The following is a 13293-nucleotide window of genomic DNA, read 5'->3' as shown; positions in this document are numbered from 1 at the left end:
TCTTTCTGAAAGTCTTGACACTATCAATGTGTTAAGTTTACTCTAAAGAAATCAACACTTTTTAGACAAAAGTATTACATCACTATCAAATGACTATAGGGCTCCTATATTGATTTGGTTTCATTTTGCTATCCAGGACCCAGAACCTTGATGGGGAAAAGAAACAGAGATAGAGAGCTGGAAATCTATCAAGAATCCACGTTCTGAACACCAACCCTTATTGCACACACAGTGAAATACCACATCAGAACAAATTCTATAGACTCCTCTTTAAAAAACATCTTTTTGAATCCCAGTCTGGAAGATTGATCAATTTCTTTTTTTTTCCTGAAATGTGCATGAAAGGATACAAGAAGCTGCCTGAAAAATAGTCGTAGGACTGGCTAATGATATTTCTACTTTGTCTCCAGTCTTAAAATTTAAGCACCCCATACAGAAAAAAGGCTGAGAAATTTTATGTATATTCAGAAATATCAAATTCAAAGTTGAAATTTCCTTTGTAACCCACCTCCAGTCTCTTAAAGGGATACTTGAATTCTGCTCAGAGGCAAACAAGTTACTTTGCAAGTTGTTTTAATAATGGTCAATGTTATTTCTCAGTATCTTTAGATTTTTTTTTTTTTTTTTTTTTTTTTTTTTTTTGAGGCAGAGTCTCGCTGTGTCGCCCAGGCTGGAGTGCAGTGGCGGATCTTGGCTCACTGCAACCTCCGCCTCCCGGGTTCAAGCAATTCTCCTGCCTCAGCCTCCCGAGTAGCTGGGATTACAGGCACCCACCACCATGCCCGGCTAATTTTTGTATTTTTAGTAGAGGTGGGGTTTCGCCATGTTGGCCAGGCTGGTCTCGAACTTCTGACCTCAGGTGACCCACCCGCCTTGGCTTCCCAAAGTGCTGGGATTACAGGCGTGAGCCACCGTGCCCGGCCAGTATCTTTAGATTTTCATATGGACTTGATGCTGTCCATCTTCTTAAAATCTCTATAGAAGAGACAGAAATTACCAAACGAGTGCACAGATGAAGCTTGATGTATACCTTCCACTTTTTGGACACAGACCTGTCATCATATCCTTCCAAAACACATTTTCACCTGCATGCCCACACTCGCACATTCATCAGACTCATTTCTTGAAACATTCTTGATGGCATTCATTCTACTTTAAACCACCTGTCAAAACAAGCACTTAATTAGGTTAAGCTGTCTGGCTTTGTGAAAAGGTTTACTGTACTCAGTTGTCCTTGCCATAAAATTAATAGTTTGACGAACTTCTAAGGAGACGGATTTTGCACTCGTGAAAGTCAAATTAAATCCACCTTTGCCAAACAGGTGAAAAAACTGGTGTGTCTGAAACTTTGAAGGCAGCACTTCATTTATTATAATCTTTCGAGTGCCAAAGTACAAATTAGGTAGAACTGCAGCTGCAAGAAAGCCCAAGTTATAGCGCGCTGCTCTTGTGACCCTTTTAATAGGCAATGCAACTACAAGATGATGAACAGAGAGAATGACTGTACCAGAGTTAGCAGTGCCAAATTTCCGACCGAATTTGCAATAAGCAACCAATCCTTCATTAAGTTAATATTCCACAGACTCAAATATTACACACACTAGTCACTGCACATCATTTCTCAACCACAATTCTGAAAAGATTTTCCAGGAACTGGGCTCATTTTATTATTAAGACTCCGGAGAATAAAAGCTGTTTAAAAAATGCTTTAAAATTTCATTTAGGTCTTGCTAAAACTGCTTTTGAATCAACATTCTTTGAGTTGAAGTAGCAAAGGAAATAATACTCAAGGCTGCTTAATCCTAAAGACAGAGTAATTTGGAGTTTTGGTTTGGGATTTTGTTTTTTCCTCAACACATTACAAAGATGGGTCTTTTATTGACTTGGAGATAAAAATGATTCATGATTCCAATTATTGTTTAAGGTGTGTAAAGTCTTAAGGCCTCCAAGGCAGAACTCAAAATGGACTGTAGAATTAACTGAGACAAAGTGCCTTGCTACTTTTGGGATGAAAGGAATCATCAGAAAAGTTGCAAAAGCACTAAGTTTTGTCTTAGAGCTTAAGATAGTAAGAATTAATTTAACACAAAATATTATTGATTACTTTCTCTTAACTCTTCATTTTTAATTCAGTAAGTGAATATAAGATATTAAGTGACTAAACTGAATATGGTCATTGTCTTTAATCACAGTTTTATTGAGTTTACTAGAAGTCATAAAACCTGGTTTCTTGTTTCTTCTTTTAGTATTGTTAGATGGACGGTCATAAAACAGTCACTTAACCCTGAGAAGATTGGCATAATATCTCAAACTGATCCACAAGTGAAATTCTGAAAGGCTAGGCGCTCAGGAAAGAGACATCTTGATGGAGATCATCTTCTCACTAATACTTCTTAAGCTAATAAAAAACCTTTTAATAATGATATTCTAACATTTCATTTGCTATTCTGAAATAAAATTCATGTATAACACTTATACAATAACATTCTTAAAAGTCAATATAAGGCCCTGTTACATAGAATAACAATAAAACAACTTATGATGAAAAAATCCATTTCAATTTGTAACTGTGCAAGCTGACTGTACTAGGAGACATAATAAAGTCATCAGATTATTTTTACTAATTTTAAAGAGTTAAGTCAAGAATAAAAGAAGGAAGATCATCAGAAGCAATTCTGCACAAGTTTTACAGGAAAATGAAAGCAGAGATATAGGAAAATATTGGAATTAAACCCATTATGAAGATAAATAAATAACAGAACAACTTTATCTGTGAGTGATAAGAGAAAGAGGAAAATGGTATTAGTCAATATAGGTATAAAACACCACGAACCATTACAGACAGCCAAAGTAGAGAAAATGAGGAGTTGAAATACTTACATATGAGCGATACCTTATTTATAAGTATAGTTTAAAATTTTCTCTATTTTATTTGTCAAACATTTATATAGTGCTGTCTGTGTGTCTGGCACAGTTCTATGCTTTTTCAATGTTATTAATTCAGTCACTTATCTTATGAATTACCCCATGGGTCTGGAAACGTTATTTTACAGAGGAAACTGAGACAAAAAGGGGTTAAGTTACTTACCCAAAAATATACAGTTAGCAAACAGAAAAGCCAAAATTTGAACCCTGGCATTCTGATTCTAGTGTCTATAGACTTGATTTCCATTCTATAATATAATGACCTGGGGTCAGATTGCATCAAAGAATAACAAAATATATCTCCTGTTTTAAAACCTCACCATATGTTGAGGTATATAAAGTACTCCTGTTACGTAAAAAGACCTTGGAGACTATACTGATCAATACAAGACAGGAGAAATAGGACATATCAGGGAAAAAAAAAACCAGAAATAAAAGACTATTGAGAAATGGTGATTCCAATTTCTGGAACATCACGAAAACAGGTTTTAAATACAGGAAACACAAAAATAGAAATTAACCTCAATATGTTTTCTCAGCATATAGGTTTTTCATTGTGCTACAGAGAAACTCAGAAATAGAAAGTTAAGAACATGAATTATTTTTAGAGAATTCTTACTAATACAATTTAATGCGATGTCTACATTTCACATGTCTCCACTAATTCTGATAACATTTTCATCTCTGGCTGTGAAAAGGAGTATCAGATACACTGTTACAAATGTGAATGCAAAATCTACAACTTGAGAATGATCCAGACTCAAATTTTATGAAAGGTGTGGCCTCATACAATGGAAGATTCAAAGTAGTATATAATTCTTGGTAAAGTGTCAAACACAACAACCCTCTCTTGATTTATACAATATTTGCATTTTTTGCTTACTCAGTTTGCTGTAATAATATGCAAAAACCCGTTCTCTTTGAATATGCATGTAAAAATGGAGTTTTAATTTCTAAATTTAGGTATAAACAATGCATTTGGGTTGCACTAAGGGCATTTAAGAGCTCTCAGGATATAGATAATACGTTTTTGCAGAACAATCCCAATCATTGCAGGATGTCTAAACTTTGTGGCCCTACTCACAAAACTTAGTAGTGGCCACCCCCCCAATGTTGTGATAACTAAAAATAAACCCCATAAATATTCAAAATGCACACTGGAGGGTGGCATCTCCCTTGCTGATAGCCAGCAATTTAAGGCTCTGCATATAGAGGTACCTAAAGCAAATTTCACAGCTTGAATGGTATAATTATGTAAGCCAATAAATTTCTTTTTTGGTTTTTTTTTTTTGACAATATGCATTAGAGTGATGATGTATTTTTTAACAATAAAGATCATTTTTATTAAAATAAAGCAAAATAAGTTTGCATTTTTCCTTCTGTGCCATTTCCCACCATTATTATTCTAAGAAAACATACGAACAATAGCAACTATGCATGAGTAATGTGGAATATTTCTTTCAATTTCACTACAAAATGTATGGATTTTAATAAGACTGTTATATAGCATCTATCTTAGAAGCAAAATCTGAATCAACCATGTGTATCAAGCAATCTGACTATGTATTAGGCAAATACAGTCAGAAACTTGCATTCTGGTTACAAAAAAAATATGAGTCTCAACAGAAATTCTTTTTCCATGTTTCAGCAAAATATTTAAGGAGTTTTTTGTAGTATGCCAAATAGGAGTGCTGAGATAAAGTTAGGTTCGTCCTATAAAATGCTATCTCTAATTTATATGGCCTATGTAGACACAGTGTTCCTTGGCAGAAGGACATAATTTTATTCAGGAAAATATAAGGAACAACTCTGTAACAAACTATACTTTCAGCCCCAAAGAATAGGACTGATTCTGGGTTAGAGTTTTGCTTTGGAAATATTTTGTTATATGTTGGGAATTAAGGTTTATTAAGATAGAGTAGATAGATAGCTGGCTAGATAGATAAATATACATGCATACATATGTATAACTACATATGCTCACTATCTCTTTACATAAATATAACTATATATACACACACACACACACACACACAGATATGTAATAAGAGAGACAGAATGAAAACAAGTAAGTCAATTGTGGGTAACTTCAAAAGCCCAAACGGAGTTTACCAAATTCATAGCTGGCACTTACTAGGTGCCCCATGTGCTATGCACCATTCTAATTATTTACATGTATTAATTAATATAATACAATAACTTTATGAGACAGATACTATTATAACAACATTTCCATTTTACAGCTAGGGGAACTCTCGAGATGAAGACTTTAGTGGCAAGATTTTAATCTAAGCATTTTGACTCCACTATGGCTTCCTTCTAGTATTCTATCAAACATTAGTTCTACAGTAAGAGCTTGATACGGTTTGGCTGTGGCTGTGTCCCCACCCAAATATCATCTTGAATTGTAGTTCCCACAATTCCCACATGTCATGGGAGGGACCTGGTGGGAAGTAATTGGATTATGGGGGGTGGTTTCCCTTATGCTGTTCTAGTGATAATGAGTGAGTCTCACAGAATCTGATGGATTTATAAATGTCTGGCATTTCCCCTGCTTGCACTCACTCCATCCTGCCACCCTGTGAAGAAGGTGCCTGTCTCTCCTTTGCCTTCCACCATGATTGTACGTTTCCTGAGACCTCTCTAGCAATGGAGAACTGTGAGTCAATTAAACCTCTTTTCTTTATAAATTACCCAGTCTCGGGTATTTCTTCATAGCTGTACAAGAATGCACTAATCCATGAAATGTGAATTCAAATTAATGCCAAGTGAAAATGACCCTATTGCCTTGAAATGCTTATCCACGGAGTTGTCCATTTGGCTAATTCCTAAATTTTTAGGGGCAGATAATTAAGAAATGCTGACTTGAAATTCATTCAAACATGCTTATGTGATGCTCTCAGCTCAAATATTCACAAGTATAACATGGTCAGCATATGGCGTCATGATATAAGAAACTGACCCTTAAATTTTTTTTTTCCTAAAAATAACTGGTTTTGTAGGCCTTACCAGAATTCATATTATTTCCAGTTCTCTTCCCATCCAGGAACATAGTAAGGTGACCCTTTAAATTTAGGAATAGCTGTGTGACATTTTTTGCCCAATTAGATGTGAGCAGAAAAGAGTGACATATGTAACTATCAGTAGAAATTTTATAGCTGGTATGTGACTTGATGCTTTTCCATCACTTTGGGGATTATGGCAGCACATGTGGCCACAGAGGCGCTATCAGAGTCAAGCCATTTGGAATGCCACAGAAACATTCAGAAGTCAATTTAAATGAACAGTCATCTCTGAACACCTTACGTAAGTAAGAAATAAACTTTTCCTATGAGAGGTCATGGAACTGTGGGTATTGCTTGTTACTGTGGCATAGCCTAGCCTCTCCTGACTCATGCAACTTGAAAAAAAAAATTACTACAGTCACTTTAGAACTAAAAAAATTAAGTTAAGAGACAAATGAGCTATTCAAAATGCCTTGGCTAATTAATAACAGGAACATTATTAGATCCAGTTCTTCTGATTTTATTTCCCATTAAAATGTCTTATTTCTTATCATTCACCATGTTGATTCTTGCTATGTTACAGAGAAAATTATATTAAATAATAAAGACAGTCTATCATGGATAAGCCACAAGATCTGGCCAAACATCAGCATATGCAAAAATAAGCTATTCGATTCATTAGTTTCTTTGGAGATATAGGTGAGTACCTAACTAGAACCTATCTCTTTTGCCTTCTATGGAGGAAAAAAAGAAATCAAATATTTTGAACTGGGTTTTACGCTTCTCCTCCAGACTTTGAGTGTCACATAAAAACAGTTTTGAAATAGAAAAAAATGAAAATATTCTGCTGTGATAATGCTCTGCTAGCATACCTTTCCTACAGGTTTGACAAATGCAGTTTAACAGGTGGTTGAGTGTGACGTTTGGGGTTTGAGCCTGACAATCGGCAAGAAAACCAGGTGGAGCTGCTGAAAAGATTCAATGTGAAAATCGTATCATTCCCTTTAAGCTATTCTGGCAGAAAGGGAATCTGACATCAGCACTGAAAACAATGAGGTAAAAATTTCTATCACCTCTCATTTCTTGGCTCAAACCCCAGTCCAATTTTTTTTATACCTCTCTTTTATGCACAAGCATATATAAGTACTACATTAGCTCTCTCTTACCACTGTGTTATGGCCCGTTATTCTGTCATTTCTCTCTGTATAAATGGAAACTTAAATGACTAACTTATACCTTTCTTCCTAGGAATGGGTTTATTTTTTTGCTTCTTTATTCCTGAATACATGATACATTCCCCAAATTCAGTCATTTATGAATTGCCTTTACAGTTTCTGCCATATTCACTTACTACTTATTTTTTTTTTACTAAATCTATGTTTTAAATTCTCTGTTTTTTGTTTTTATTTTTCATTTAACACTGCATTAAGATTCTCTCATATTTGATATGCTGGTTACCATGTTTTCTCAATGCATAAAAAAATGCATCTATAACCATGGAAGTAAAATATGTTGGTTCAGATACCACCTGCACTTCTTTTGAATACCATAGGTGGTATCACACACTGGGAACACTGATATATAACACATAACACGGTGCCATTTACACATCAGACATTTAAAAGGCTACTCATGTGTTTTAGAGTCTATAAGCTTTCAAAATTTGCTTCTTTAAAACTTCTATCTACATTGATTTTACTTTTTTTGAGGTAAAATTATTTTACAAAGTTATAAGATTTTTTTATGCCAATGACACTTAAGATCTTTCTGAAATACAAAGTTGGATATTTACCAAGTGAAAACCTTACATTTGCAGACTTTGAACATGGGTGTTCATAGCAGAATTATTCATAATAGCCAAAAGAGGGGAAAAACCCAAATTTCCATCAATGAATGATGAATAAACAAAATATAGTGTCTACAAACAATGGAATATTATTCTGCCTTAAAAAGAAATGAAATTCTGATACATGCTACAACATGGATGAATCTTAGTGACATTACACTAAGTGAAATAAGCCACACAAAAGGACATATATTATTTGATTCAATTTATAGAGGTACCTAGAACAGTCAGATTCACAGAGACAGAAAATATAACAGGGGGGCAATGAGAAGTTATTGTTTAATAGTTACACAGTTTCAGTATGGGTTAATGAAAATGTTCATATATGGTAAATGTTGTAAAACAAAGTTAAAATATTTAATGCCACTGAACTATACATTAAAAATGGCTAAAATGGTAAATTTTATGTTGTATATACTTACTACAATAAAAAATAAAATTAAATATATATAATACATATCACTTAATAACATGCTAATGTGTTGAATGTCAATGACCTTTAACTGACAGCTAATAAATAAACAATGTGTCCATTATCTTCAACAGCAATGTATAACTGCTTTTAACCACAGCTTATGATGATAATTTGTATTCATCCCTACCTCATTGACATATCCTTTGCTAACTTTCCCTGAATACTATATTGAAATTAAATCTAGACTGGACGCAGTGGCTCATGCCCGTAATCCCAACATTTTGGGCTCTTTAAAACTTGCACATCTTTGTGGCCACCCTTGTCTTACTGAATCAGAATTTTGGGAAAATGAGGACTGGGAATAGTTGTGAGTTATCATTCAAATGTCTAATAGTCACTGATCTGGAATCTGTTTGCTGCTCTTCATTTTCTTGAACCACTAGGACCCCAAATTTTACTTCCATGCCTCATTTGAATTAATTTCATGATTCTCTTGCTTTGGTCTTTCCACCATTAAAACAATAACAAGAAATAAACTTGACTTTGGCCTTCCTAATATTAATACCTATAGTAACTGCCGTACTTTTTACATTCAATCAAAGTTCAGATCTTACTGTGGCTTGGTCTAGAAATTTTCCTCAGAAATCTTCCTTAAAGAAAAAGACATTTAACAATATTAACACTTTGTAAAAACAAAACTTTAAAGGGCCCTTTAGCAATTATTTCTAGCTGATATGGAGTCTACAATGCATCTAAAGTGGTATAGTTAGGGATTCAAAAGATTCTTTTTGCCCTAAAGCAAGTAAATCCCAATACCGTTGAAAGAATTCTAGAGTCAGAACAGAAAGAGGCAACAAGCAAATATAAGGCCAAATGGAATTCAAATTGATCATGGATTATTTTAATGGACAGAAAGAGAGAGAGAAAAAGACACATATTAGGGTTTGGGGGCTGTAGCAAGACAGTGGACACAATTAATGTAGAACCAGTTAGGCAATCTAGACAGTCTGGATTCAAACTTGCTGTGAACTATAATTCAACAGTCACATTGTTGGTGTCTAGTGGCTTTTCCCAAGTCATGTGTTGGAGCTGTAGATGTTTCCTCCTGATTGTGCCCTGGTGGTCTGCTTGTTGGAGGTCTTTTTTGTTCAATACACTTTTTGACTTGCTTTCCACTTCCCTGGCTGGTTCATTCACCTTAATTATGATTACCTGATTAAGAGTGGAGGTGACACATCCAAACCCCTAGTCAGGGCAGTCTTATTAGGCAGGAAATTCTGCCATTTGCCTAATTTAAATTAAAAGGTGTGTTTTACACAGAACAAACCAAAGCAGCCAGCCACAGAAATTCCTTTTATCCAATCTATTTACTTCTCTTTGGTATTCAATATGATCCTTTAAGCCAAAGGCAGTTATAATAGGAGTTAAATGCCCCTCTAGTTTTTCAAATGGAAGTCAGATTTAGAAGGTGTTAGGTTTTTGCAGACCTGCTAAATTCCTAGGCTTAAACATTTCAATGGTTAATCATGAAGTAGCTTTAAAATGTACGCCTTTTTGGAAGTATTAAATAACTACAGAGGATGTTTTGTTATTTAAGAACATCTTAGGAAACAAAGCTTGGAAAGCAGCTCATGAATTTAATGCTATGGCATCATTTTTAAAAAGACAGGTTAATAATTGAATGGCATTGTCCAGAAAGATGGAATCTAGAGAAGTTATGAATGTACTTTGTCAAATGAACATTCTCTGTTGATATTGAGATAAAATGCTGAGACTGGCAGATTAAAAGAGAACACTGAAAACAGCTGAGATTCATAGATAGTCCATTTTGGACTCAACTTCTCTCTTTTTGTCACCCAGATATCTGAATGTTGAGGGATCCAAGGACTTCCACTGTTCCTCCACCCTGGCCCAGACCTCGGGAATGAGTGACCAGTTCTTTTCCATATGGTGATGCTGGGATGAAAATTCTCAGCTAAATCATCTGAATCCTAGAGTAACTGAAAAAGGGGTTTCTCCCCTCTGATTTCCCAGGCAGCTCCTCCAAAATAGAGAAACTATAGATATCATACATTCATGATCCAAATACATGCTTACCACTTATCCTCAGGGGTAAATCTTGATTGAATCTGTTAACACACTGAACCACATTTTTTTAAAATACATTCTGACTTAATGATACACAGTACTTGGATTGCAGCATCACAATAGCATTCTCTACTTTTAATGACAAAAAATGGATAGAGTGGTCATTCCGTCTTACTAAAATAATCTCGTCAACTCAACTTAGGATCACCCAAGTAGAATAACAACTTGCCGGTTCCCTAGTATCATGTGATGACGGACCTGGGCAGTTTAATGTCTCCATGTGCTTCCACATCAATCTCTTTCCTAATTGCATGAAGTTGGGGCTTCCTTCTATTTCCAACTGAATTCCTGATTTTGATAGGGGTGAGTTTTGTTTCACTGATCTTCCCCACACATGGACATACGCAATTAAACATTCTTGGAAATTTTTTCTTAAACTCTTTTTGTTTTTAATCTCTCCTGCTTTCCTATTATTAAGAACTAGGCTGTTGGTCTTTCCTTTCTACATAAATCAACCTTATAATATTCCTTAACAATAATAGGAAAGCTAGAGCCAATAAGTCACTCCCTTAGAGAAAGAAAGGGATTTGTTTGGCTATTTTGCTAGGAGACTGAAAATGGGAGAACTGCAATTATACATTGAAGTTTTCTTGGGAAAATATGATCAATGCTGCTTCATTCATAGTACAGGATAGACTAGGGTAGCAGAGTCCTGTTTGCTTTTTCGGTTTTGCCCAAGGGCGGCAAGAGAGGGAAGGAAACTAAAGAGAGAGATAGAACTTGTATGTGCTGAATCCTTGAACTTATACAAAAACTTCAGACTTCTGATTTGGTTTTCATGAAATGCAAACATTAATAACAATCCTGTCTCTTTCAACAGGAATTCAAACACTGTGAGCTCAACAACAACTGTTACCCAAATTAAAATTTGAATGTGAGATTAGTACATGAACTCAGTCTAGTTGCAATAAAGCAGACTAATCTCAAGCTTGGTCTCTTGCAGCCAGACTTCAAGGTGATCAAGGTTAACAAGGCCAGTAATGAGACATAGCAACACCACGTGCTTCCAGATACGATGCATTGAGAAGGAAATAACACCTCTGTGGTCCTCTTGCCAAAAATGCAAACCTGAATTTATTTACGAGGAAGCATCAGACAAACATACAATAAGGTCATTCTACAAAGTAACTGTCTAGCCTCTTCAAAAGGATAAGGTCATGAAAGACAAAGGACCATCCCATCTTAGAGGAGACTAAGGATGATGACTAAATGCAATGGATTATGGATTGAATTCTGGACCAGAAACAAACAACATTTGTGGACAATTGGTGAAATTTTCACAGCTCTGTTGATTACTTAATAGTATTGAATCATTGTTAATTTCCCAGTTTGGATCATCATAACTGTAGTTATGTAAAGATTTCACCATTTTGGAAAGCTGTGGAGAAGGTATATGGGAATTCTTTGTACTGTTTTTGCAAACAAAAATTATTTCAAAATGGGAGTTTAAATTTGTGTTAAGTTTAATGAAGTTAATGGCCACAACTGATTATATAAAACTAGATTCCCCAGCAGAGTTGGAAAATAATTTTTGTGGTTTAATCTGGATAAACAGAAGATTACAGCACTAAATACAATTCAACAAGCATACTTGGAGAAATTACTCAACATAATGCATAAATACAGAGTCAAGTTTGAGAAGACATGGTCTTTGTCTTTTTGAAACACATAAATTCTGTCAAAACCTAGAATCTTTTTAAAGAAAAAACGATGGAAAAGTATTGGAAAATTTACAACAGTAAAGCCACAATGGCGTAATTTAAATTATTCCCTGTACATCAGAAGGCACTTCAGAATTCTATAATTTAATTTATTGACATTGTTATGAACAGATGTTTTCAGTGTATTGTAGCATGCAGAGGAGCCAATTAAAATAAATATATACATATTAGAATGTAATATGAGATATTATCATATGATATTCTAAATGAATAATCACACAATTCTCACAACAGAAAATCTGATTCTTGTGTCATTTATGCACTCAAATAAGTTTAATATGGGAATCTACTTTATATACCTTTAACTATGACAGAACATGAAAACTACCATACATGTTTTAGTGGATTCAGGATGAAATATTCTATCTATGAGAATACTCCGTGTATATGTGCCATTTGTATGATATTTCTTCTCCTAGAAAAAGCTTTCCCTGAATTATGCATATGGAAAACTCCTACTCTGTCAGGAATCAATCTCAGCAACACCTCCTCCAAGAAGCCTTCCATCACTCCCCTAGCATGCATTCTCCTATGACGCCATAGTTTCATCTGTCTTCATTTGTCAACCATAGGCATAATCACATTGTACTGTACTTTTCTATTGATTATATTTTCCCGCTAGACGTTAACTACTCTACCTCAATGCCTATTCCATTGCACCATCTTAATAAATATGTAAATAAATAATTTCTTCTGTAAATCCAGGATTAGAATGGATTATTTTCAGAAACAGTCACAAAAGATAAGTAAAACGATAAAAATTCGATTGTGACCTAAGCTGATTTCATGGGAAATTGTTTATTCCGATGCAGATGGGCTGTGAAAAGGAATTCTGGCATTGAACCCTTGGGGTATAGATTTAGTAACCGGCAGAAAAAAATAATAGGAAATACCATGCTCCCACAAGTTACTCTTATTTGTCATGATCTGAAACAGTGTTGATTTGTTTTAAAAATCAAAATCCCCAAACTCACTGATGACCCATGAACTAAGAGTATTTTCCATGGAGATTTAAGAAATGCTCACCTTTACTCACATAATGAGATCTTTGAGGCAACATCAAGCACATCAGAATCCTTTAAATACTAGTATTAGCAGAGCCATGTGGCACTCCAGTTAGGTCAGTGTGGGAATGTTTGGTCCCATAAGTCGTCCAGAGCATACCTCTTCTATTTGTGTCCCTGTTGTCTGTCTTGGAAACCAGTGCCCGAATAATGAAAGATTAATGAGATC

This window comes from Homo sapiens, chromosome 14 (assembly GCF_000001405.40).
Source record: "Homo sapiens chromosome 14, GRCh38.p14 Primary Assembly".
NCBI lineage: Eukaryota > Metazoa > Chordata > Mammalia > Primates > Hominidae > Homo > Homo sapiens.
This window is presented reverse-complemented; position numbering follows the sequence as displayed.